The sequence below is a fragment of the Homo sapiens genome, chromosome 4 (assembly GCF_000001405.40).
Source record: "Homo sapiens chromosome 4, GRCh38.p14 Primary Assembly".
Lineage (NCBI taxonomy): Eukaryota > Metazoa > Chordata > Mammalia > Primates > Hominidae > Homo > Homo sapiens.
The window spans coordinates 40,608,138-40,635,173 of record NC_000004.12 but is presented as its reverse complement, the minus strand read 5'-3'; the positions used below and the strand labels follow the sequence as shown (position 1 = coordinate 40,635,173).

The window sequence follows — 27,036 nt, the reverse complement described above, 5'->3', positions numbered from 1 at the left end:
TGTAATCCCAGCTACTTGGGAGGCTGAGGCAGGAGAATCTCTTGAATCCGGGAGGCAGAGGTTGCAGTGAGCCGAGATTGCACCACTGTGCTCCAGCCTGGGCGACAGAGCAAGACTGCGTCTCAAAAAAAAAAAAGGATTTCTTTTCTGAATAATACCTGTTGAGAGAAATAATCACCAGTCACAATAGGAAGCTTAGGTTCAGGCTGGGTGCGGTGGCTCACACCTGTAATTCTAGCACTTTGGGAAGCCAAGGCAGCCAGACCACTTGAGCCCAGGAGTTTGAGACCAGCCTGGATAACATGATGAGACCCCATCTCTATAGTTTCAGTAGTGTGGAATAGTGAAAAGCAGTAAAAACAAACAAACAAACAAAAACAAAATAAAACTTGGCTCTGCAACTTATAGCAACTACTGAGAACCTTACTTTCCTAATCTGAACCATGGGGTGATACAACTGTTTTGTACCTTATCCATTTATTTATTTATTTATTTATTTATTTTTCTGAGATGAAGTTTCGCTCTTGTTGCCCAGGCCGGAGTGCAACGGTGCGATCTCGGCTCACTGCAACCTCTGCTTCCAGGGTTCAAGTGATTCTCCTGTCTCAGCCTCCAGAGTAGCTGGGATTACAGGCAGCCGCCACCACACACGGCTAATTTTTGTGTATTTAGTAGAGACAGGGTTTCACCATGTTGACCAGCCTGGTCTTGAACTTCTGACCTCAGGTGATCCACCTTCCTCGGCCTCCTAAAGTGCTGGGATTACAGGTGTGAGCCACTGTGCCCAGCCCCGCCTTATCCATATTTAACTCTCACAGTTGTGATGATCAAAGGTGATAATAAATCTATCATTGGAAATGCTACGTACATGCTATGCCCATGAGTGCAAATGGTATGCACATGACTGCTTATTTTTCTATTGTGGCTTACCTCTCTTGATGAGGGTGTCTTAGATAGTGTTATTTGATCTAGGACTTAAGCATGGGAAAGACAATTCTTTGTGAGCTGTGGAGCAGGTTTCTTTCCAGATTCAAAAGGAAATACCATTTCTTCAGTAACTTCTATGTGCCAAGGACCATGCTGAGATTTTAGCTTTCATTTAACTCTTGTAGAAATCCAGAGAGATGGCCAGGTGCAGTGGCTCACGCCTGTAATTCCAGCACTTTGGGAGGCTGAGGCGGGTGGATCATCTGAGGTCAGGGGTTCGAAACCAGTCTGGCCAACATGGTGAGACCCTGTCTCTACTAAAAATACAAAACTAGCTGGGCATGGTGGTGCATGCCTGTAATCCCCACTACTTGGGATAATCGCTTGAACCTGGAAGGTGGAGGTTCGAGCTAGCCAAAATCGCACCATTGCACTCCAGCCTGGCCAACAAGGGCGAGACTCTGTCACAAAAAAAAAAAAAAAAAAAAAAAAAGGCCAGGCGTGGTGGCTCACGCCTGTAATCCCAGCACTTTGGGAGGCTGAGGCAGGCGGATCACGAGGTCAGGAGTTCAAGACCAGCCTGACCAACATGGTGAAACCCCCTCTCTACTAACAAAAAAATACAAAAATTAGCTGGGCGTGGTGCTGCGTGCCTGTAATCCCAGCTACTCGGGAGACTGAGGCAGGAGAATCACTTGAACCTGGGAGGCAGAGGTTGCAGTGAACCGAGATTGTGCCATTGCACTCCTGCCTGGGCAATAGAGTGAGACTCCATCTCGGAAAAAACAAACAAAAAGAAATCCAGAAAGATAGCTGTTATTAATTTATAAATGAAGACACTAAAACTCAAAGCGATTAAGCAATTTGTCCAACATCACATAGCTCAGAGAAGAAATTGAGATTCAAACTCAAATCTATTGGAAACTAATTTTCATGCTGTTTGCACTCACTCCGGAACATTGCCTCATAGGCAGAAGGAAAAGAAGAAAACAGAAAGTAAAAGACAAGGGTCTAGAAAACTAAAATGCCCCAGGAAAATGGAGTGGGCCTAAGAATTAAAATAATTATAATAATAATAAAACAGGCGCCAAGGTTAGCCACAAAAAAGAAATAATAAAAGTTCACATTTGTTTTGCTATAGCCTGCCACTTAGAAAAATCTGTTTTATTTTTGTCATGTTCCCGGGGAGGGCAGTGAGAAATAGGAACAAGAATTATACCCATTTCTCCAGCGGATATGGAGTGCAAAAAAAGAAAGAAAGGATATACCCATTTCATAGGTGTCAGTGGGCAAAACTGAAGAAGGAGCAGGCAACATCTGAAAAAGGGTAACTGACCCTCTTTGAGATGAGGACTCACTTCCTGAAGTGGAACCTGAGCCTCCTCAAGCAGGAGTTTTCCCTGACTCCAGTTCCAGTTCACCTGGAGTCACTGACCTCCACACTTTCAAATTTCTTTTATTTTTATCATTTTTTAAATTTATTTATGTGTTTATTTTTTTTTTTGAGACGGAGTCTTGCTCTTTCGCCCAGGCCGGAGTGCAGTGGCGCGATCTCGGCTCCCTGCAAACTTCACCTCCCGGGTTCAAGCCATTCTCCCGCCTCAGCCTCCCGAGTGGCTAGAATTACAGGTGCCTGCCACCATGCCCAGCCAATTTTTGTATTTTTAGTAGAGACGGGGTTTCGCCACGTTGGCCAGGCTCATCTGGAACTCCTGACCTCAGGTTATCTGCCTGCCTCGACCTCCCAAAGTGTGGGGATTACAGGCGTGAGCCACCGTGCCCAGCGAGAATGTCCCCTCTAGAATCCTTCAGCTCAGACAGTCTGTGACAGCGAGCCTTTTTTGAGGCCATAATCCAGATACTTCTGGAAAAGAAAAGAAAATTTCAGGCTAATATGGAGCTGGGTTTTTTAGTTGTCTTAAGGGGGTGGAGCCGTTGTTTGTGCCTGGCAGCATCAACCCTTAGGTCTGGTGAGGGAACTTAGCTAAGAGAGTTCCCACTGCCTGCTGTTCACAGTACATGCTGGCTGGTATCGACAAAGAATGAACCTAAAACACAGGAAATGTTGAATTTGTCTGGGTTAAATTTTGCCTCATGAGAAGATAAAAGATCAGAAGGATTTAAAATGTTCCAGAATGCTTTGCTGGTTTTAAGGAATCATTTTTCCCAAAGGTGGCAAATGCTGCTTTTTAAATTTATGGTTTTCTTGATACCCCTTCAGCCTTTGTTTCTCTCTCTTAGGACTACTACTTTTTAATTAATTTTCACTTAACTTTCCAATACTGATGAAATAAAGAAAAATGAGGGTTATTTATATATATTTTAATAAATCCAGTTTGATTTTTCAACTTAAAAAAAAATTAACTAGAACTGAGAACCAGTCCTGGCCTCACCACCTTGGACTTACACTTAACCTGTGTGATCTCAGTGTCTTCATCTGCAAAATGGGGACAAAATAGCTCATAGGATCATTTTGTAAGGATCACATAAAGTAAGAAGGGTGAAAGTGCTCCATAAAGTAGAAAGGGCCTCACTAATGGAAAGGGATTATGATTTCTTTCTTTAAATGTGAAGTTAAATGGAGGATAAAGGGTGGAGGCACTGATAACATTTTAGCCTTCAATAATCACTTTTTAATATTTATGAGGAGTTTCAAAATCATTTCCCTCTCTTTCATACTGCTTTTCAAACGGCAAGGGTCATTATTTGTCCGGCCCAGTCTGGGATAAGTAACTATCCCAGGGTAAGACACCAGGTCAAGTGCCAAAATACAAATGAGAATTAAGCATAGCAGATGGGTGATTGCTGGGCCCTGAATTTCCTTCCCGTTAGTGAGCTTCATGGAATGCAGGCAAATTTATCTCCATTTCTGTTGTCAATCTTGTAACTTTTAAGTGAGATGAAATTCAGTTGGCTACCCTTTACAGGGACTTTATTTCCCATTGTATTCAAGACTGTCAGCAATGAATATAAACTGTTTGTAAAAATCCCATCGTTAGAATCTTCCAGAAACTGAGGCTGGGAGAGATTAAATATCTTGCTCATGGCCTCACAGCTGGTGAGTGGCAATGCTGGTGCTACAGCCCATGTCTAACTCTGACCACACACTCTTCTTCAGAAAAAAGCCATAATGTAAATAATAATAAGAAGAATAACAACAACAATAACGGCAGCTAACACTGTGTGCTAGGCACCGTTCTAAGCTCTTTGCATGTGTTAACTCAACCAGCAAAGAACCATTTTTGGAACATTCTTTCACTAAAGTAGCCCGGTATTTTTTTCTTTCCCCTCAGCTGAATGACACTGCAACCCGAAATCACAACTCTGTTTTAGGTTCCTGGTGGTGCCTGCTTCCTCTTCTAGTTTGTTTAGTCACAGAATTCGATTCCTGTTGGCCCATTCCGCGCCTACAAACAGGCTTAGCGCTCCACTGAAATGCGGGAGGCTCCTTAACTCTTGTATAAACAGGTAAGGCGGAGGGGGTGGGGCGCGGATTGCGGACATCTGGGTTTCTTGGGAATTGGGATGGGGTGGGGGTTCGAGCCAACTCCCCAGAGAGCAGGCAAGGTGAAGCGAGGGCTTGGCTGCTGTTTCTAAATGCAGTGTTTTTTTGTTCCCTTTCTAGAAACCCTCCGTAACTCTAGGTCAGAGCGCACTAAAATGAGCCACTTCTGAACGAGCAGCGCCCAGGCCCCAGGCCCTGCTGCGAAGGCCCCGGCAAAGGTCAGGGCCCCGTCCGCGTGACGCTCCTGCCTGCGCGCGGCCAAGCCATGCTCGGCCCCAGGTAAGGACGCCCCGGGAGCTCGCCCCGGGAGCTCTCCCCGGGCACGCGGGGGTCGCAGAGATCCCACCTCGTCCAGCGACTTGTTTATGGGGGGAAGAAGGGGAGCGGGGCGGTTCCGATCGGCTTGAAATTCAGCAGCAGGTTCCTAATTTCTCCAACGTGGTTCTGGCTGGGTTTCTCGGAGCAGCCCGAAGGGGGCCGAGCGTCTGACTCGGACAGATGCCCCCAGGTGGAGCAGGTGCCACTTCTGGGTGTCTGAAAGGCATGTGACTTTTGGGGCGGGGAGAGAAGTCCGTCTGGTCAAGTCCCCCAATCTCTGCCATCAAGGCCGATTTTCTTTGAACCTTCAGCAAAGGTATCTGCGCTCCTAAAAAACAACAGGAATGTGGCACTGGCCTTTAGCCAGGGGAGGCTCAGCCAGCAGGATAAAATTTCAGGGCAGATTTACGGGAAGTTGCCGGTGTTGGGAGTAAAAATCTGGTTTGGTGAGTTTAAGGGAAGGGAGTAGACGAGAGACAACCTTGCTACTGTGAGGCGGATGGCCTCGGCAGGGGGCGGGCGGCGGGAGGAGAGAGGGAGGGAACCGGGAAGGGCCCGCAGACTAGACGCTGAGCGCTCCCGTGCGCAGCGCCCCACGCAGCCGGGACGCGGCGCCGCTCTGCGGGTGGAACCGCCGCGCGCTCCCGGCCTCGGGAGCTGAGCCCGAGAGAACTTCGCTGCCTTCGGGTCGCCGCTCCCGCTTTCCACTGTGGAATGTGCAGCTTGGGATAGAGAGAAACCAGGGTTTGGGGAGCGGTCCTCCTGGAGACTTTCTCTCTGCAAGTCTCCAAGGTTAAGCAATTCTGACCCACTGGAATTCCCAGAGCCTGGGAGTTAAGCCTAAAACGCTCTGTTGCTTTAAGCGGCGCGGTGGGGAGTCGCTGGACACTCCTTATTTTGGTTTTACATTAAAAAGAAGGCGGACGAGAAGATGTTGTAGGTGACTTCCTAGCTGTGTTAAGTTGCTCCTGGGCTGTGAATGGTGTTAATTTCTGAAGTGGGCGGCTCCAAAAACTTAACAAGGAAAGGTAAGGTGGTTTTTGGTAGTCCTTCTAACTATTGTCCCTTAATCTTACATTTGGGTCCCAATTTTTGAAGTGTATATTTTTTTCTTATTCTTCTCTCTTTAGCTCTTATCCCTCATGCTATCACTCATCTTCTGTCTCTTGGTATATTTAGTGGGAAATAAAGGGTTTATAAAACGGTTTTAAAAGGGTCAACCTCTGGGAAGGCAGATAATCATATACAGTCAGTCCCATCGTGTTTCCTGTAGTGATGAATCTTTTCCCATAAAAGAAACTGATTTTTTTTTTTCACTCTTGAAAATACATGATTGGACCGCCCAGAAGCACAGGTGACTTTAGACTCAGATTATTACAGTGAGACTGAGGAAGCGTCCTGGACAGGAGGCATCTCATTTAAGTGTTAACCAAGGCAGAGGGGGGTCTTCCTGCAGTAATTTACGTCTGAAAGTAACACTCGGTAGAGGTGTAGTTGTTTCAAATTAAAAATTCAGCCTGTAGAAAAGGGTAGGACTGACGAATTATGACATCTGACAAATTAGCAGTTGACCGGATATTTAAGAAATCAGATAAAATAAATGGAAGTGGAATTTTTCAAATAAATGACTCATTTTTTAATTAGGTAAAAGTTCAGCCACTCTTGGGTACTGTCCCAAGGCATAAGTGATAGGAAGATACCATCTTCAAGGTACTTACAGGCCATTACCGACCTGAACTAAAAATCAAACCTTTTTTTTTTATCTGGTGGTATTTTAATGACTCACTGTTTTCTTTAGCAGGAATATAGATTTTAAAATGTATTCTTTAAAAGTTTTAAGGCAAGGTCATACGAATTTCTCAGGGGAGGGAAAGCAAAGGGTTGACAACCCAACATGAAGGAGTTGCCGAAGTTTTGAGCTCAAAAGGTTGGCAATTAGATCCAGAGCATTTGAGAATTGCAGGTGCCGATTCTAAAAGGTGAAAGGTGGTCAGCGGCGTAACACACAACCTCTAGATAAACCAAAGTACTCAACCTAGAGCATAAGAAGAGATCACTTTGTGGGAGTTTGTGTTGCTATTAATTTAAACAATGATCTTTGTTAGATCAATGACTTGAAGTCTTGGAGGGAACTAAAATCAACCCAGTCTGAAAGGAAAACAGAAGGAAAAAAAGAAAGGAGGAGATGGTTTGGTTTTTAATATTTTTTTCTGGTCTGCTTTACCCTTCACCTTGTTCTGATATACACACTGTTGGCCTCTTTGACTTAATTATTGCATGCTGGAAGGATGGGGTCTCAGAAATTTCCCAAGCACCTAGCTTCATTATTAACTTTCAGTATGTGTCAAATGAAGAAATAAGCCTAGCTGTGCCGTCCTTTACCTGGCTAGGTAGGCCATGCTTTAAATTAATTAGATCAAGATATTCTGAATATCAATCAATTATTAAAGATTTATTATCTTCCTCTTGGTTTTTGCGTTTACAGAAGTTTGTAGGATTGAGAATTCATCATCATCATTTTTTTTACCAATCTCTATATTTTTAATAGTCAACATATTTATTTTTGATTCCCCCACTGTGCTGCTTTAAATTAAATTTTGAAAGAATTCTGCCCAAAGCAGTAGTGATACTGAGGATGAAATAAAGACAGAAAGCAAGGGAACTACATGCTTCTGGACACGTGTTCTATAGACTTGCTCTAACTAGTGTTAAAGACTACTCATTTTTTTCCTCACATGATAAGAACATTCATATTAGACTATTTGGTTTACTGTTCTAGGTAATGATTTTTTAAAAGATTGGGTTAAGATGAAATTATTTTCTTACAAAAGGATTTAATTTGCTTTTCAAATTCTGCTCTGAAGCTCAAGATTAAATCATGTCCCAAATGACTGAGCTTTCATTGCTATAGAAAAGCATTTGGCTATTTCAGTAAGTTTCCGCCTCCACATCTTAAGTCTCTTGATTTTTCAGAAAAGGTCAGGGGAGTGGATATAAGCGTGAAGGGAGGGAGATTTTCTTAAAATTGGACCCAGGCTCAAGTGAAACTGTGATTAGGTAATCCCAGAAGATACATAATTCTGGGGAAAAAAAACTCTGAAGAGGGTTTAAGTTTGGGATTCATGAGACTTAGAAAAAGGGTATGCTTAGAATAAAGGTAGAATTTGTGTGCCAAACTTTGATGAAGTTACAATGAAGACATTAAATGCAGCTTTAAGTGCTTGTCACCGTGATTCCAAGCTACAGGTTATATTGCAGTGTTTCAGCTACTGGCCTGATTAGGAGATATATTTTCTTTCCCTCTTGGGAACAGTCTCTGTGTCTTAATGATGATGCTGATTTTCTGGTTTAATATCATAAAAGGTGTGTGTTGGTCCCAACATTACTGCTCCAAGTAGTGGCTTCAAAGAGCAACTGGATAAAGATTTTCAATAATAGCAATGCAGAGATGACCTGGGTTTCAAGATAGGAGGCCTTTGGAGCCTTCAGAGAATTGTCATAGAAATGATCAGTAACTAATTGCTCAGTTGCCACCTCAAGTTGTTGTTTCCATCTTATGCGGGAGAGATTCGGGGGAAATGGCACCCTGCCATTTTTTGTGTGTGGTCCTGAATCATCCTGTTGGTAAAACTCCTGAGGTCGTCTGAGCTGGAGTTCTGATTGCTTCTGTTTCTCTCATAGTTGCTTCCCCGTCTATTCTGTGAGCGTCTGTATGGGGAGAGGCAGTGGGGAGGGCGATCTCGTCCCCTTGAAGTCAATGACCACCTGCTTTTAAGGTTCTCGTATCTTTTGCTCTGAAAAAGGTGTGGGGGAGGAAAACTTTCATTTTCCAGCGAAAGTAGAAAGGGAGAGAGTGTCTAGAGGAATAAACGGCCAAGAAACAGGTAAGTTCTGAATGTGGTCCTAGTGTGGAATTTACCAGAAAGCTCACATGGAGATTACCACTGCCCTCAAAGGATTGCAGGTAAACTAGCAACTGTGGGAAGTGGAGGCTCCTCCTCTCCTTTTGTAATTCAAATGTTCCTAGTGTACTGCAATAGACACTAGTTTGAATGAATTCAAGATATCATCTCTTGGTAAAACCAAAAGTAAACTGATTACAAAAGGCACAAACCCTTCAACCATACTCCCACTGTCTGCCTTTCCTCTACTTTCTGTGTGGTTTAAGTACACCTGAAAAAACAAAACAAAACAATTACAGCTCAGTTTATGTAACTTGCATATTTAACAGGAGCATCTTTTTTGGTTGTTATGAATCTTCCATTTTTGTCATCATAGGAACTTAGTTTATGTAAACAACGATTTGTGGGTGTGTCTAGATGCATATGGTTTATGTGTTTGTAAAGTAAAATACATAAATAAGCTGATCACGTAAAAGTGATTGTGACTATAGTAGCTCTTTTGGTGCACCCTATCAAAGCTTTTAGAGTGGAGTCATTTTAGAAATCAAAAGCACAATCTCTGCTTTTCTGAAGGCCATTTCAGGGAGATGACATCGGGAGAAGACAGAGTGCTAGTGTAACCCTGAAAACCCTTTGTGTTTTAGGAAAATATCAATCTTTTGGTCTCAGGAGATTTCTGGTTCTGCAAAATGTATGCTTTATTTATAGATTACACTCAGCCACATTAATCAAGAAAACAACATCCAGTCTCCCCAAATCACGATATTTGTCTTTGGGGATGCTATATATTTGTGGTTCTCATGAACATGGTGGCCCTGCACGAAGACCACAGTGGGTTCCTGGTGGGTGTACGCTGAATGAGCCTCCTGATTGTGCCTTGCTTCAATGAATTGTCAGTTTTGCTCATATTCCCTGAGTATCCACCAGCTGGGGTGGAAGACAACCCGTTCCCAGACGCTATGGATAATCCACATGTGGGTGAGCAAGAGTTAAGTATATGTACCAATGGGCAGTGGGTGAGTGTACAATGAATGCAGGGCATTGTGCAGCTGAAACAGGAACAGGACGCCTGTACCTGACCAAGGAAATGTCAGCATATTAATATTATAATAAAAAGTATCTACCTTTCAGAGCACTGAGACCTGGCTCAATCATGTTTGTAAAGCATTTCACGTGCCCCAAGAAAAACAAAAAGTACAGAAGTACAAAATGGACAGGGTTTTTTCAGGTGTTGTTTCTCTTAGATCAATTTAATTCCTATTCTGAAAATGTGTATTTGAGCCTTGTAAGCTCAGGTAAACCATTTGTGTTTCAAAAACGAGGGTTCCAAGTTGGTGATGATAATAGCACTGTGACTTTTAAAAAGATGGCTTAGGCTGGGCACGGTGGCTCATGTCTGTAATCCCAGCACTTTGGGAGGCCAAGGCGGGTAGATCACAAGGTCAGGAGTTCGAGATCAGCCTGGCCAATAGGGTGAAACCCTGTCTCTACTAAAAGTACAAAAATTAGCCAGGCATAGTGGCGGGTGCCTGTAGTCCCAGCTACTCGGGAGGCTGAGGCAGGAGAATCGCTTGAACCCAGGAGGCAGAGGTTGCAGTGAGCTGATCGCGCCACTGCACTCCAGCCTGGGCAACAACAACAAAAAAAAAAAAAAAAAAAAAGAAAAAGAAAAGAAAAGATGGCTTAAATAATATTTCTTTTTGTGTGTTGTCATTTGATTAAAAAATAATAACATGGTTCTTGGTACACCAAGCCCTTGCCAAGATTAGGCCCATCTTCCCAGTAGCCTTCTCAAGACAAAGTTGCCTTTGTGTAACTACAACTGGGAGGCTTTGGTGACACAGAAAATTTAATGGGGCACTGCAACTTCTTATTAACAGAAAATGCAATGGCCTAATGTTTTTGTTGTTTTTGTTTTATGTACTACCAGTTAATACCTATGATCTATTTCTCCATGAGGATGATCTTACTATTTTAGACATGTCCAGGGAAGAATGAGGTGGTTATGGCTTTACCTTAGAATTTAGTTAGATTATAAAAGGCTGCAGCATGCTGGCATGGAGGAGAGCTCAGCACTGTGGGCTAGTTTGTTATCAGGGTAATCAGCAACGTTTGGTCATGTGGTGAGAAAAAAAGGGGTTTATCTAGAGTAAAGATGCAGATTTTAGGGAAAGGATGGCTATTCATACTAAATTCACACTCCATAGCAGAGTGGCTAGGAGCATGGGCTGCCTTGGTTCCAATCTTAGTTCTGCCACTTACATGTGACTTTAGGCAGGCTAACTAAAAAAGAAAACTCTGTGACTCAGTTTCCCCAACTGTAAAATGCCTACCTCACAGGGTTATTATAAGGATTAAATAAATTAATCTGGGCCAGGCTTGGTCACTCACACCGTAATCCCAGCACTTTTGGAGACCAAGGCATGCAGATCACTTGAGCCCAGGAGTTTGAGAACAATCTAGGCAACATGGCAAAACCCCATCTCTACAAAAAATACAAAAATTAGCCAGGCGTGGTGGTACACGCCTGTAATCCCAGCTACCAGGGAGGCTGAGGTGGGAGGATCCCTTGAGATCGGGAGGCGGAGGTAGCAGTGAGCCGAGATTGCGTCACTGCACTCCAGCCTTGACAGGGCAAGACTCCATCTAAAAAACAAACAAACAAACAAACAAACAAACAAGTTTATACCTCTTTGTCTGCTATTTAATATCCTTTAAAAGGCTGAGAGTTGCCAATAAGCAATGATGAGGAGGAAAAAAGTGCATTTTTTCGTAATTAGAAAAAACTTATTAGGTCATTACTAGAAGGAAAAAAGTATGTTTTCTCAAAATTAGGGAGAGTGAAGAGCTGAGCGTGGTGGTTCATGCCTGTGGTCCCAGCTACTTGGGAGGCTGAGGCAGGAGCGTCGCTGGATGACAGGCGCTCAAGGCTTTAGTACGTTATGATTGCGCCTGTGACTAGCCACTGCACTCCAGCCTGGGTAACATAGTGAGATCTCACCTCTAAAAAATACGGAGGGTCAACCAAGAAATCCAAGAGTGAAAGGGCAGTATCAGGTGAATATCAATGAATCACAGCAGTGTGGCTTTTCTGGTGGGCTGACAGTGTACTCTTAGTTACTAAGAAAAGAGATGAGGAAGGACAGGTGGCTGAAGAAGTATTAGAAGAATTGCCTCTAGTGAAATCCTATTTGCAGAGCAAAGAGAAATCCAATAACAAGTTAGCCCTTCCCATTTGGTGCAAACAGTAGTTTGGCCCAGGGACCTCCTTTGCTTTTTGCTCCACATTGTGGGCTCCAGCATCTACCTCAAGGTATATGTCAGTTTGCCAATGAGTAAACAGAAACTGCCAGCTCATATGATACGGACAAGCCCAGCCTGAAACCTAGGAGTCACTTCTCCGGTGGGAACTGCAGGAGGCACACAGACCCTGAAATTAAATGGTAACACCCATGTTCTCATACACCCTGGTCATGTATGAAAGGTCTTGCCCTTTCTCCATTGGCTAGAGCTAGTCACGGAAGGGTGGATACGTCTGCAGAATCTGCTTATCTGCTCCCCTGCTTCCACCTTTGTCCTCACCGCTCTCCCCGCACACTCCTTTCTTAACCCAGTATCCAGAGTGACTCTTTTATTTTTTGAGATGGAGTCTCACTCTGTCACCCAGGCTGGAGTGCAGTGGCACGATCTCAGCTCACTGCAACCTCTGCCTTCCAGGCTCCAGTGATTCTCCTGCCTCAGCCTCCTGAGTAGCTAGGATTACAGACATGCACCACCATGCCTGGCTAATTTTTGTGTTTTTAGTAGAGATGGAGTTTCACCATGTTGGCCAGGCTGGTCTCGAACTCCTGGCCTCAAGCGAGCTGCCTACCTTGGCCTCCTAAAGTGCTGGGATTGCAGGTGTGAGCTACCTCACCTGGCCAGAGTGACTTTTTTAAAACAGAAGTCAGCTCGTGTCAGTCCCCTGCCGAAAACTTTCTAGAGCTTCTCTATCTCACTCAAAAGCCAGTGAATGACTTTATTTCTAGTCCCATCACCTCTTTAACCTCGCCTGCTACCACACACATCCTTACTTCCTCTGCTTTAACCACACTCCTTTTCTTGATGGGGTGTGCCCAGCACATTCATACCACAGGGCCTTTGCACTGGCTGCCCCGATGCCTGAACCATCATCCCCAGACATCTCCATGCTTCACTCCTTCACCTCCTTCAAGTCTTTGCTCTGCCTCCTCCAGGTTAAAACAGCAATTCCTCCTTCCTGCCCGCATCCTCTGTCTCACTACCCTGCTTTCTCTCTGGTATTTATCGCTTTGTAGCATACTATGTAATTGTGTGACCTATTATCTGTCTCTCCCTGACTAGAATGTCTACTTCATTCATTGGTGTATCCCAAGCACATTAGAGGAGCGTCTGCCACAGAGTAGGTGCTCCATAAATACTTGTTGAATAAATGAATAAGACACACAGGCTTTTACACATTTCAAGCGTGACTGAATGCGTTTTACTCGAAATACAACCACGAACATACCTTTCTGAATGAGCATGGGTTTTCTCCCAGACCTCTCCCAGGAGGCTGCCATGTTTTCTGTGGTTTATTTTCTCTGCCACCACAAGTCCTTGATGGAGGCTGATGACTAAGTAACGTGCAAGGCAGGGCCAAATGTGGGGATGTCGCAATCGTTTCAGCACTTCCCCATTTCAGAGCTTCCCTGTTTCCAAATCAAAGCCTCCTCTTTGGCAATCTTTTTGTGATTTACATCTAAATGTGTAGCCCTCTGTTTGAACCATTTTGTGAATCGCATGCCCTACAGATAATTACACTTGACTGACTTATGTTACTATATTGTTTATCACCTTTTCTACTGTCATTTAATTATAATTAATGATTTTCTGAAAGTAACTGTCAAGACAAATTTTCTTAACTATCTCTTTTCACCTTTGAGGTTTCCACAAGTGCCAATTGCTGCTACAGGATTCCATTTAGATTGTTCTCAGCTGCAGAGCTCAATTAGGTATTTTTGTCTTGACCTGGCATGAAACGGAAGTGCTAGAGTCATTGTTTGAGTCTTTAATTTTTCCCCAGAACCTTTGTACAAATACTTGATCTTGCCTTTACAAAGTGGCAAAACAATTCTCTGATCTGTCATGTTTGTTTGCTAGCCCTGGCTTCGTTCTCTCCTTTGGACAATTACCTAGGTTTGGCAAAATTGCTTTTCGTGGCCTTTGGAGGCACAGTTCCCTCTCTGCGTTCATTTGCCTTGTTTAGATCCATAATTCACTGAAAAAGGCTTCCTCAGTTGCTGTTAGAATCCTGTGGCTACTAGGCTTGGGGACCCTAAAACCATCTTGAAGGTAGTACAGACTCCAGGAAGGTTCTTTGCAGTAAAAAAAAGGCAATAGTACATAAAGTCTGCTGAGGGTAGATGAAGAGCCTGGATTTAGTTATTTCTGACTATTGTCAGTCATGGTTTGTGGCTGATTTAGAATTATTTGGATTTTGGGTTTTTTTTTTTTGTTTGTTTCCTTCTAAATTGATTTGGAAGACATCATCACAATTTGTTGAGGAGTTCAAAAAATACACAGACAAATTATGCCTAATAAACAAAGAGCTAATGTTCATAGTTCTTTCTGCAAATCATCTTATTTCTTATCATATGCACTGAATGGGACATTAGAAATGAATAGGGGGGCCGGGTGCAGTGGCTCACGCCTGTAATCCCAGCACTTTGGGAGACTGAGGTGGGTGGATTGCTTGAGCCCAGGAGTTAAAAAGCAGCCTGGGCAACATGGCGAAAACCCTTCTCTATTAAAAAAAATTTTTTAAAGAAAAGAAAAAATGAATAGCATATAAATGTTAAATTAGACTTGTCTTTGGTAATATACTATATAGAGGGAGCTGGTGGTAATTATTTACTAAAATATAGAACCAGTAAATATGAATTAAATGGGTTTATAAACTAGACACATTGAAAGGACTTATTTTTCTTGCCCAGATACAGACTTTTTGTTTTTTTTTGAGATGGAGTCTTGCTGTTATCGCCCAGGCTGGAGTGCCATGGCATGATCTCGGCTCACTGCAACCTCCACCTCCCAGGCTCAAGCCATTCTCCTGCCTCAGCCTCCTGGCTAGCTGGGATTACAGGCGCCTGCCACCATGCCTGGCTAATTTTTGTATTTTTAGTAGAAACGGGTTTCACCATGTTGGCCAGGCTGGTCTCGAACTCCTGACCTCGTGATCCGCCCGCCTTGACCTCCCAAAGTGCTGGGATTACAGGTGTGAGCCACTGTGCCCGGCCCAGAGTTTTTTTTTTTTTTTTTTTTTTTTTCATACTGAGTCTCACTCTATCGCCCAGGCTGGAGTGCAATGGTGTGATCTTGGCTCACTGCAAACTCCGCCTCCCTGGTTTAAGCGATTCTCCTGCCTCAGCCTCCCGAGTAGCTGGATTACAGGCATGAGCTATGAGGCCTGGCAAATTTTTGTATTTTTGGTAGAGACAGGGTTTCACCGTGTTGGCCAGGCTGGACTCAAACTCCTGATCTCAAGTGATCCGCGGCCTCGGCCTCCCGAAGTGTTGGGATTACAGGCGTGAGACACCGTGTTTGGCCTAGATACAGACTTAACTGCTGTTTGAGCAGCTACTGTGTGCTGGACACTGGATACGAAGTACCCAGTGGTGAATAAAGATTCTCCGCCCTCTGGGACTTTCTTTGTTGGGTGGAGATGAGATTTAGTGTTCTGAAGGAACCAGGAACCCACAGGTACTACACAATAGTAGGTGGGAATCCCATAGGTGAGGTCATCAGAGAAGGCTCCTCCAGGGAGGTGGGGCTGAAGGTGTTTGATGGGCAGGGAGATGTCCATCTTCGCTAGATGGAGTAGCGTTCATGAAGGTCCTAAGGCTGGGAACGCTTGGCATGTTGAGGGACTTAAAGAAGGCCGACCTTGCAACAGTGCAAAGTGCCCAGCAAGGAGGAGATGGGCACAAGGTAGGGTTATGGGGATTACTGAGACTCAGAGCATGTGGGTCACTAAAGACCATGGAAAAGAGTTTGCATTTTGTTACTCCAGGCCTAAGAGAAAGCCATTAAAGACGACTTCTTAAAAGACAACCCTGACCCAGGCTGGAGTGCAGTGGTGCAATCATGGCTCACTGCAGTCTTAAAGTCTTGGGCTCAAGTGATCCTCCTGCCTCAGCCTCCCAAGAAGCTGGGACTACAGGCACACAATCATACTCAGCTAATTCTTTGATTTTTTTGTAGAGACAGGGTCTCACTCTTTTGCCCAGGCCGGTCTTGAATTTCTGGGCTCAAATAATCCATCCATCTTGGCCTCCCAAAATGTTGACATTACAGGTGTGAGCCACTGCGCCTGTCCAGGGGTTGATTTTTGGGGGTGTTGGTGTTGGTGGAGAGAGCCAGTGGCCTGCATGGGATGTCTTCTGTGTATCTACCTGCCTCTGTTATGGTCTGAGTCTGAGGCCGGCAGTGGCCAGCAGAAATAGCAAGATGTGGTGATGGCCTGGAGGAAGGACTGAGGATGGGGGGTTCTGATCTGTGTTGCTGGCTGTGATGGCAGAGACTGGGGGAAAACAAGTTTGAGGCAGGTAGAGGAGATCAGGAGTTCAATTTTGGGTGTGTTTACTGAGATTCCTGTTCAAACATCCCAAGGAGATGCTGGAAGTTTCCCTTTTTTTTTTTTTTTTTTTTTTTTTTGAGATGGAGTCTCGCTCTGTTGCCTAGGCTGGAGTGCAGTGGCTTGATCATGGCTGACTGCAACCTCTACCTCCCAGGTTCAAGCAACTTTCCTGCCTCAGCCTCCCGAGTAGCTGGGATTACAGGCGCGCGCCACCATGCCTGGCTTATTTTTGTATTTTTAGTAGAGACGGGGTTTCACCATGTTGGTCAGGCTGGTCTCGACCTCCTGACCTCGTGATCTGCCCACCTCGGCCTTCCAAAGTGCTGGAATTACAGGTGTGAGCCACTACCCCCAGCTAGAAGTTTCCCCCTTTTATATCCAGTGCCTCTAGCAAAAGCAGGAGACACCTCTAGTGCCTAGCATTCATTTTTCGGAAAAGTATTTCTTATTTTATTTTATTTTTAGAGACAAGGTGCCACTCTGTCACCAGACTGCAGTGCAGTGGCGTGACATTGCTCACTGTAAAATCTTGGGCTCAAGCAATCAATCCTCCTGCCTCAGCCTCCTGGGTAACTGGGACTACAGGCACATCACATGCCTGGCTGCCTAGCATTTTTTCTTTTCTTTTATTTTCTTTTTTCTTTTTTTTTGAGGGTCTTGCTCTGTTGCCTAGGCTGGAGTGTGGTACAATCATGTTTCCCTGTAGCCTTGACCTCCCTGGGCTCAGGTGATCCTCCCACCTCAGCTTCACAAGTAGCTGGGATTACGGGTGTGCATCACCATGCTTGGCTAATTTTTTGTATTTTTTGTAGAGACAGGGTTTCGCAATGTAGCCCAGGCTGGTCTCAAACTCCTGGGCTCAAGCAATCAGCTTGCCTCAGCCTCCCAAAGTACTGGGATTATGGTGTGAACCACCATGCCTGGCCCTTCACATTCTTTTAGACAACTGTTTTGTATTTCAGTGTTTCTCTTTATGTCCATATTGGCAAATATAAAGTATGTGATCTTTACTTTTATACCACAAATGACAAAATAATGCTAATCGAGTATCTAGGGTGTATAGGAAACTGTAATGGGGAAAGGGGGTTGGGGGCAAACATTAAAAAAAAGACTTAAGTATAGTTTCAGTCATCAAACTTATAACTCAAATTAATCATATATATTTACCAAAATTTTAATATTTATATTATATATTTAATATTCAATCACATTAGTATAAATATAAAGTACATGTATATATTTATACTTAACACTGAATATATTTAATATATTTAGCATGTATATGTACTTAATTTACAATATTAAATGCCATATTTATTTATTATTTTGAGATGGAGTCTCACTCTGTCACCAGGCTGGAGTGCAGTGGCACGATCTTGGCTCACTGCAACCTCTGCCTCCCAGGTTCAAGCGATTCTCCTGCCTCAGCCTCCCGAGTAGCTGAGACTACAGGCACGCACCACTATGCCCAGCTAATTTTTTTGTATTTTTAGTAGAGATGGGGTTTCACCATGTTGGACAGGATGGTCTCCATCTCCTGACCTTGTGATCCGCCTGCCTCGGCCTTCTAAAGTGTTGGGATTACAAGTGTGAGCCATCACACCTGGCCTTAAATGCCATATATATTTAATAGTGAAAACAAAAATTTGTGTGAACAGAGATTCATCCCACATAACAAGTAAGAGAAAGATAAAAGAAAATGTAAGATGAGGCCAGGCGCAGTGTCTCACGCCTGTAATCCCAGCACTTTGGGAGGCCGAGGCGGGTGGATCACCTGAGGTCAGGAGTTTGAGACCAGCCTGGCCAACATGGTGAAATCCTGTCTCTACTAAAAATACAAAAATTAGCTGGCCGCAGTGGCGGGCGCCTGTAATCCTAGCTACTCGGGAGGCTGAGGCAGGAGAATTGCTTGAATCTGGGAGGCGGAGGTTGCAGTGAGCCAAGATCGCGCCACTGCACTCCAGCCTGGGCGACAGAGCAAGACTCTGTCTCAAAAAAAAAAAAAAAAAAAGAAAAGAAAATATAAGATGAAACAGTGGATTTCCTTGTGAGTTATAACCACTGAGAGACATGCAAATTCATGCTGTAAATATTGACACTGTAAAAATGGATCCATTAGAACACGTAAATGTATTTCTTGTGTGTCTCTTACCTAACTTTTGTAAGCTTTGTAAAAAGGGTCTGCTGTGTTTCTTCTGCATATTATGTGGGTGGAAATTAGAAAGCTGATACAGGCACATTTTAAACCACATAATGAAAGGCTGATTTGTATCTCTAGCAAACTGAGTTTTTGAGTTTCTAGTACCTAAAGCGAACTGGGGATATGAGGGTGAGCAACACACAGGGCTTTTGGAGCTTATAGCGGTGGAAGCTTTATCCGTTTGTTTTTAGCGCCACACTACAACCTCCCAAGCAGAGATTATTCTAAAAAAAATGATTGCGCATATACTTGCAAACTCATAGGAATAAAATGATTTTGGTCTCAAGCAATGACCAAAGAAGTGATTTTTTTTTTTTCTTTTTTTTTTTTTTGAGACAGAGTCTCGCTCTGTCGCCCAGGCTGGAGTGCAGTGGCGCGATCTCGGCTCACTGCAAGCTCCGCCTCCCGGGTTCACGCCATTCTCCTGCCTCAGCCTCCAGAGTAGCTGGGACTACAGGCGCCCGCCACCATGCCCGGCTAATTTTTTTGTGTTTTTAGTAGAGACGGGGTTTCACCCATGTTAGCCAGGATGGTCTCGATCTCCTGACCTCGTGATCCGCCCGCCTCGGCCTCCCAAAGTGCTGGGATTACAAGCGTGAGCCACCGCACCCAGCCAAGAAGTGATGTTTTAAAAAGTCATGAAGCTTTAGAATTGGATGGAGGTAGAAGAAGCTATGACAGATAATGTTTTGCAACCGTGGCTATAGAAACTGTCAGTGACTGTAGCATTTTATTCTCCAATATCATGTCAACACCAGTGGAGCCCATGAGGTGTAATTGTATTTATTATTGCTTAATTGAGCCACAGATGGTGTGGTTATTCGTTTTGCATAAGATGGTTCAGTTTCCAAAAGGATATGAAGCGCCTGAAGTTTTCACAATTAATTAGTTAATTAATTAATTTTGAGACAGAGTCTCACTCTGTTGCCCAGGCTGGAGTGCAGTGGCGTGATCTTGGCTCACTGCAACTTCCACCTCCCAGGTTCAAGCGATTCTCCTGCCTCAGCCTCCCTAGTAGCTGGGATTACAGGCATGTACCATTATGCCCAGCTAATTTTTGTATTTTTAGTAGAGATGGGGTTTCACCATGTTAGCCAGGCTGGTCTTGAACTCCTGACCTCAGGTGATCCACCTGCTTTGGCCTCCAAAAGTGCTGGAATTACAGGTGTGAGCCACCATATCTGGCTAAATTCTGTTTTTAATAAGAAAGCAACTTTGGTGAAGAGCTGTATAAGGTGTACCTGGAACAGTACTTACTTTTGTCATCCAGGCTGTAGTGCAGTGGAGTGATCTAAGCTCACTGCAGCCTTGACCTCCTGGGTTCAAGAGAGTCTCTCACCTCGGCTTCCCAAGTAGCTGGGACCACAGGTGCACACCCTCATGCCTGGCCAATTTTTTTTTGTATATTTTGTAGAGACAGGGTTTCACCATGTTGCCCAGGCAGGTCTTGAACTCTTGAGCTCAAGTGAGCCACCACGCCCACCCAGCCATGACTAACATTTATTGAGCACCCACTGTATGCCATGCATGGTTTCTTATTTTTATTATTATTATTTTTTTGAGACAGGGTTTTGCTCTGTTGCTCAGACTGGAGTTCAGTGGTGTGATCATACCTCACTGCAGCTTCAACCTCCTGTGTTCAAACGATCCTTCTGCCTCAGCCTCCCAAAGTGCTGGGATTACAAGTGTGAGTCACTGTACCTGGCCATGATTTTATTTAACCAACAAACCACCCGTGAGAAGTAGGTTTTACAATTATCCTCATTTGACATGTGTAGAAATGAGGCGCTATCTAGTAACTTGCCCAAGGTAAATGGTGGTCAGAATTGAGACTCTTTTGTGTATGTGTGTGTGACAGTGTCCTTTTTACCATGTTGCTCAGGCTGGAGTGCAGTGGTATGATCAAGGCTCACTGCAGCCTTGGCCTTCTAGGCTCAAGTGATCTTTCCATCTTAGCCTCCTCAGTAGCTGGGACTGCAAGTGTATGCCAGCTCAGTTAATTTTTTTTTTTTTTGTAGAGATGGGGGTCTCATTCTTTTGCCCAGGTTTGTCTCAAACTTCTGGGCTCAAGCGTTCCTACCCCTTTGGCCTCTCAGAGTGTTGTAATTACAGGTGTGAGCCACTGCCCCTGGCCAAGACTCTTGTAAAGCTTCCCAAAGGAGGTCAGGTTTGGAAAAACCAGGTCTTTGGACCAGGACCCAGTCTTCTACAAGATCTGTTCTTGGCTTATATCACCTCAGACAATTGACCCTGGCCATGGCCCTTCTCCTCACTGCCTTTCACTTTCCTTTCTTTTAAAATTAGATAGAAGGGAGGGGAGATTTTGGACTAGGCTTTGACTTATGTTTTACACAGCTGCAATTTTCTCTAATTCTTTTTACTTTCATGGTTCAAGTCACTAAAAGGCTGCTGGTTCATTTGATGTTGAAGGGAAGATGGGGGTTGGGTGGATGGGGGATGGTTACTTGGCTTTAAGTCGCAGGAAGGAAATAATGCTGGGTTAGATGGCTCGTTCCAAATCTTACAAAGTTCTTACAGATTTGATTCTTAACTCTCAGATCCCTTCTGAGATAGTGAATATTGCTAGTATATAGGATGGTTCCAGACTGGTGGTTCTAGATTTTGTCTTCCAAGGAACATTTGGTAATGTCTGGAGATGTTTTTGGTTGTCACAATGTGGGAGGCAGTAGTGGGGATGGGGATTGGGAGCTTCTGGCATCTAGTAGGTAAAGGCCAGGTGTACTGCTGGACATCCTACAATGCCCAGGAGAACCACTCAAAACAAAGAATTATCCAGCCCAAAATGTCCATAGGGCTGAGGCTGAGAAACCCAATTCTAGACTGTTCTCCACAGTCACTACTGTCCTTTTTTTTTTTTTTAAGTTTTATTTTTTAAGACATGGGATCTCACTATGTTGTCCAGGCTGGTCTTGAACTCCTGGTTCAAGCAATCCTCCTGCCTTGGCCTCCCAAAGTGCTGGGATTACAAGCATGAGTCACCATACCTGGCCTGTTACTACTGTCTTACACACCATGAACAGCATTCCTTTCTTTAGTTTTTTATCACCAATGAGTTAAACTCATCTGTCTTCTGATGATGCAGGGTCTAAGAAGGTATGAGGGGAGAAGGTCAGTAAAAAGTTGAACTGAACTCTGTTCTTAGGAATGTTAAGTGTTTTAACAGCAGCCTGCTAGAAAAGTCATTTCGTAGTTTATTTTTCCCTTTCTTGTGGATTCAGTCACTTCACTGTTTCCTTCTCAGATTCTAAGAATTTTTCTTTCGAGGCTACTAATGTCATTAGAATATCCCCAGAGTTTTGGTATACTTTTTTTTTATTGAGGGACTTCTTGATATTTATATATTTTGGACAAAGCTGAACTTTGAGAAAGTTGTTAGTAGAATCTTTTCAGACCTAAAGATGCCTGAAGTTTAAAGGTTTAGGTTTGGTTAAAATGAAGTTGTCCTATGTTTTATTAAGACTGTATCTTGACTTCATTTAAAGCAAAAAAAATAAAAATCATTGTACAGTGCTTTCAGCTTCATGGCGAGACACTTATATTAAATGAACACATGCTGGTGTATAGCTGGACTGTCAGCAGCTTTGGGAAAACAGCAAACATTCAAGGATGGCTAGAAATGAGCTCCGTGTACCAGGCTGACTTTCCTTTGAAGAAACCTTTTAGTCAATATTTGATGTCTTGTAGATTTGGGGAAGAAAGATAAATAAATGTGTTTGCAGTTGTTCCTGGCTGAGAGAAGCTGAGTTTACCTAAGTTTCCATAATAAATTAATTACAACCAAAGGAAATGAAACAAAAGCCTAGGGGATGAAGATCATAGGTGAATGAAGATCCCTCTGCAAATTGACATGGGTTCTAGGTTTGACTTCTTTGTAGTGGAAATAAAATGCAGCTGAATGAGCTCTCATTTTTGCTGAATATAAGATACCTTCAAATTTAATAAATGGGAAAATGATGTGTACTGAGAAGCTTGGACATTCTCTGATGACCTTTTGTGTTATTTCAGTTCATTTAAGGTCACAAAAGTCCTACAAATGCCCTGTTGGATCAGATTAAAGAACTGCTCATCCTAGTTTCTGCAGACTTCAGAGAATATATTTTAGACAAAGTCATTCTTAGAATTTCTAGCTATACTTCTTCTTTTTTGAGAGACAGAGTCTGGCTCTCTTGCCCAGGCTGGAGTGCAAGTGCAGTGGTGCGATCTTGGTTCACTGCAACCTCCGCCTCCTGGGTTCAAGCTATTCTCTTGCCTCAGCCTCCCAAGTAGCTGGGATTGCAAGCATGTGCCACTACACGTGGCTATTTTTTGTGTGTGTTTTTAGTAGAGGCTGTTCTTGAACTCCTGACCTCAAGTGATCTGCCCACATCGGCCTTCCAAAGTGCTGGGATTACAGGCGTGAGCCACTGCACCCGGCCATCTAACTATACTTCTTGAATATCAGTTAGATACGGACCCTAGATACCATTAATTCTCCACATCCACATGTTATGGATCCATGATCAGGATCTAATTCATTCAGATTCCCCAGGACTTCTTGTTAAAGCAGTATTTACTTTTCTTCCCTCCAAAGCTCACTTTCAGACTTCTACAGGTGGCCCATTTACCTTCATTCCAACGCTCTTGACCCTTCATTCTTTTAACATTTGAATTCTATTCCATTTCCATCTTAATCCTTCTGTTCTGAAGAGGCCTGAGTCTTGCGTGGAAGGCCAAGACTCAACGCTTGATTATTTTATTACACCTCTCATGTATCTTATTGGAGATACATTATATATATATAATCAATGATATCTTGGATAAGATGTCCCAGTTTAATCTCAGATGCTCTTTGGTTTTGCCCAAGTCTTGAATAGTGATTTCAAGTTTGCTTCCAAAACTCATTTTGATGATTCTATGTGGGTGGTTTTTTTTGTTTTGTTTTGTTTTTGTTTTTTTTGAGACAGAGTTTTGCTCTTGTTGCCCAGGCTGGAGTGCAATGGTGCGATCTCGGCTCACCGCAACCTCTGCCTCCCGGGTTCAAGCGATTCTCCTGCCTCAGCCTCCTGGTAGCTGGGATTACAGGCATGCGCCACGATACCCAGCTAATTTTTTTTTTTTTGTATTTTTAGTAGAGGCAGGGTTTCTCCATGTTAGCCTCGAACTACTGACCTCAGGTGATCTGCCTGCCTTGTGGCCTTCCAAAGTGTTGGGATTACAGGCGTGAGCCACCGTGCCCGGCCTATGTGGGTTTTTTGTTGTTGTTTTCTTTTGAGTAGCAACAACTCCAGCCATTTATTCATTGAGTGGATACAGGTTCTGTGTCAGGCATTGGAGATACAAAATGTATCAGAAGTATTCTGGGTTGTTGAGAAGCTCACAGACTAAATCAGACACGTAAGCAAAAATAAAATAAAATACTCTTTTGTGCTTTCTAGAATAGAGATATTCATTTATCCATCCATTGATTCATTGAAAACCATTTATTTTGTGCCTACATTTACCTAGAGAGACTGAAGCATTAAAAATGAGTCCCATGAAATTTTCTAGATGCTATGATAGGAATCGGTAGCATCAGTTTAACCTGAGGAGGCACAGCAGGGGATGAGGGAAACGTTTAGGGGACTCCTCATAAAGATAAGACTTTTAACATACTTAATATTTACATAGTGTATTAGTCTGTTTTCATGCTGCTGATAAAAACATACCCGAGACTGGGAAGAAAAAGGTTTAATTGGACTTAACAGTTCCCCATGGCTGGGGAGTTCTCTCATAATCATGGGGGAGGGTGAAAGGCACTTCTTACATGGCAGCAGCAAGAGAGAATGAGGAAGAAGTGAAAGCAGAAACCCCTCATAAACCCCTCAGATCTGGTGACACTTATTCACTATCACGAGAATAGTCTGGAAAAGACCGGCCCCCATGATTCAATTACCTCCCCCCTGGGTTCCTCCCACACCACATGGGAATTCTGGGAGATACAATTCAAGTTGAGATTTGAATGGGAACACAGCCAAACCATGTCACATAGCATGTGTTATGTGCTTGGTCCTGTTCTTTTTTTTTTTTTTTTTTTTTGAGATGGAGTCTCACTCTGTCGCCCCAGGCTGGAGTGCAGTGGCGCGATCTCGGCTCACTGCAAGCTCCACCGCCCGGGTTCACGCCATTTGCTGGCCTCAGCCTCCTGAGTAGCTGGGACTACAGGCACCCGCCACCGAGCCTGGCTAATTTTTTGTATTTTTAGTAGAGACGGAGTTTCACCGTGGTCTCCATCTCCTGACCTTGTGATCTGCCTGCCTCGGCCTCCCAAAGTGCTGGGATTACAGGCATGAGCCACCGCGCCTGGCCGTGCTTGGTCCCGTTCTAAACACTTTACGAAGATGAACTCATTGAATCTGCATAAGAAAACTATGAAGTACTTACAATTATGATCCCCATACACAGAAGACCTAGGCACAGAAAGGTTAAATAACTTGCCTAGGGTTATGTAGCTAGTAAGGGCAGAACTCGGAGTTGAACCCAGGTGATTTGGCTCTAGAATTAGAGATGATTCTTAAATGAGGTTTTTTTGTTTGTTTGTTTGTTTGTTTTTATTTTGAGACAGAGTTTCACTTTTGGCACCCAGGCTGGAGTGCAGTGGCGTGATCTCGGGTCACTGCAACCTCCGCCTCCCGGTTCAAGCAATTCTCCTGCCTCAGCCTCCTGAATAGCTGGGATTACAGGCATGCGGCACCACACCCGGCTAATTTTGTATTTTTAGTAGAGACAGTTTCTCCATGTTGGTCAGGCTGGTCTTGAACTCCTGACCTCAGGTGATCTGCCCTCCTCAGCCTCCCAAAATGCTGGGATTACAGGTGTGAGCCACAGCGCCTGGCTTGAATGAGCCTTAAATGAGATCCAGAGATATGAAAAGCAGGTAGTTAGTTACCATTTGGAGAGGGATTCCGGAACCTAGAGAGAGATGAGGCTGAAGAGGCGGGAAGAAACCAGATGGCAAGGACTTTGTCTCATGCGCAAAGCATATAATTTATAGAAAGCAGAGAAAAATGGAAGCTAAAAAAGAAGAAAAAGGTCATGGCTGGGCGCAGTGACTCACGCCTGTAATCCCAGCACTTTGGGAGGCTGAGTCGGGCAGATCACTTGAGGTCAGGAGTTCGAGACCAGCCTGGCCAACATGGTGAAACCCTGTCTCTACTAAAAATACAAAAATTAGCCGGGCGTGGTGGCGGGTGCCTGTAATCCCACTTACTCTAGAGGCTGAGGCACAAGAATCACTTGAACCTGGGAGGCGGAGGTTACCGTGAGCCAAGATTGTGGCACTGCACTCCAATGTGGGCCATAGAGTGAGTCTCAGTCTCAAAAAAAAAAAACCAATAAAAATAAAAATAAAAAATTAGCAGGCCAGGCATGGTGGCTCATACCTGTAATCCCAGCACTTTGGGAGGCTGAGGTGGGTGAATCACGGTCGGGAGTTTAAGACCAGCCTGGTCAACATGGCTAAACCCCATTTCTACTAAAAATACAAAAAAATAGCTGGACGTGGTGGTGGGCACCTATAATCCCAGCTACTCAGGAGGCTGAGGCAGGAGAATCACTTGAACCCGGTAGGCGGAGCTGCAGTGAGCTGAGATCATGCCACCGCACTCCAGCCTGGGCGACAAGAGTGAAACTCTATCAAATAAATAAATAAATAAATAAATAAAAGAAGAGGTATGGAGACATAGCCAAACACTGCAGAGAGCTCACATGTTTCGTGTCATCTCGTTTTTCCAAATCAGCAATGACAGCAGGATGAGTGGGCCAACTCTAAGGAATGTACATATAAGATTTAACTTCATTCATTGGTTCCATGTTTGTGGGATTTCTGCTATTTACATTTACTTCACAACATGTGCTCACCCAGAGTGTGCCTTTCATGCCAGAATTTTAGGATTGTACTTGCCTTACTAACACCAACTTGAGCAGAATGATATTATCACAGTCAAAATGGTTATTGCTGCAACAGTCTCTAAGTTCAGGATTTGCAGTTTGTCCAGCATCATCAAGCCTAGTTGACAGGATAGAAAAAGAGTTCCAAGTCTAAGCTTGTTTCACTCTCATTGACAAAAGAAAGGGCTTTTTATTGCTATTTCGTACTTGGTCTTAATACTCGATATGGATTGGGCCCCTGAGCAGAGGCAGTTGTTTCTTTGCTACCAGGTTGGTAATTTAGAGCCTGCCCATTTTGGAAAATAAATTAATCTCCAAGTCTGCCTTCCCCTCAAATGATAATGCTCTGCTTATTATATCAGTGAGCATTTACTGGAGCAACTACTTGGTACCTATTGGTCGCTCTGCTGAGTTCTGGGGAGTTGTAGGTGAACAGGACACTCTTCCTGCCCTCAGATGCTCACACTCATGTGGGGACAACTCACTTGTGTCCAACTCACTGTACTATAACATGGCATGTGATATTGAACAGGGAGCCCACAGGAGGGACAGTTGGGGAAGAAGGGTGATCTTTTAGCTAGATTTTTTTTTTCTGAGATATAATTAGCGTACTGCGAAATTC

The 27,036-nt window shown here is 43.9% G+C and overlaps 1 protein-coding gene across 29 annotated transcripts in view, besides 7 other annotated features; it reads left to right on the top strand.

The window, feature by feature from the left end:
• The first annotated feature begins 4,321 nt into the window (after positions 1-4,321).
• Positions 4,322-27,036, top strand: part of RBM47 (RNA binding motif protein 47) — a 207,573-nt gene continuing 184,858 nt past the window's right edge. For 12 of the 29 annotated variants that reach the window (XM_047415824.1, XM_047415814.1, XM_017008308.2 and 9 more), the window contains exon 1: positions 5,310-5,778. The gene's annotated coding sequence lies outside the window, so the exon portion shown is untranslated. Of the gene's footprint in view, positions 5,197-5,309; positions 5,779-27,036 lie in introns of those variants that run through there. The other 17 variants (XM_017008310.3, XM_017008309.3, XM_005248103.5 and 14 more) reach the window with 7 other exon arrangements.
• Positions 4,699-5,576: an enhancer, noted in NCBI's record as "OCT4-NANOG-H3K27ac-H3K4me1 hESC enhancer chr4:40631615-40632492 (GRCh37/hg19 assembly coordinates)". NCBI's record gives its function as "activates a minimal SCP1, AML or CMV promoter by ChIP-STARR-seq in primed H9 embryonic stem cells {active_cell/tissue: H9 hESC(primed)}" and the evidence as "EXISTENCE:reporter gene assay evidence [ECO:0000049][PMID:30033119]".
• Positions 5,447-5,516: an enhancer, noted in NCBI's record as "active region_21494". NCBI's record gives its function as "activates an Ori minimal core promoter by ATAC-STARR-seq in GM12878 lymphoblastoid cells {active_cell/tissue: GM12878}" and the evidence as "EXISTENCE:reporter gene assay evidence [ECO:0000049][PMID:35858748]".
• Positions 5,577-6,453: an enhancer, noted in NCBI's record as "OCT4-NANOG-H3K27ac hESC enhancer chr4:40630738-40631614 (GRCh37/hg19 assembly coordinates)". NCBI's record gives its function as "activates a minimal SCP1, AML or CMV promoter by ChIP-STARR-seq in primed H9 embryonic stem cells {active_cell/tissue: H9 hESC(primed)}" and the evidence as "EXISTENCE:reporter gene assay evidence [ECO:0000049][PMID:30033119]".
• Positions 11,676-11,725: a silencer, noted in NCBI's record as "silent region_15381". NCBI's record gives its function as "represses an Ori minimal core promoter by ATAC-STARR-seq in GM12878 lymphoblastoid cells {active_cell/tissue: GM12878}" and the evidence as "EXISTENCE:reporter gene assay evidence [ECO:0000049][PMID:35858748]".
• Positions 13,046-13,125: a silencer, noted in NCBI's record as "silent region_15380". NCBI's record gives its function as "represses an Ori minimal core promoter by ATAC-STARR-seq in GM12878 lymphoblastoid cells {active_cell/tissue: GM12878}" and the evidence as "EXISTENCE:reporter gene assay evidence [ECO:0000049][PMID:35858748]".
• Positions 15,517-16,044: an enhancer, noted in NCBI's record as "H3K27ac hESC enhancer chr4:40621147-40621674 (GRCh37/hg19 assembly coordinates)". NCBI's record gives its function as "activates a minimal SCP1, AML or CMV promoter by ChIP-STARR-seq in naive H9 embryonic stem cells {active_cell/tissue: H9 hESC(naive)}" and the evidence as "EXISTENCE:reporter gene assay evidence [ECO:0000049][PMID:30033119]".
• Positions 20,771-20,830: an enhancer, noted in NCBI's record as "active region_21493". NCBI's record gives its function as "activates an Ori minimal core promoter by ATAC-STARR-seq in GM12878 lymphoblastoid cells {active_cell/tissue: GM12878}" and the evidence as "EXISTENCE:reporter gene assay evidence [ECO:0000049][PMID:35858748]".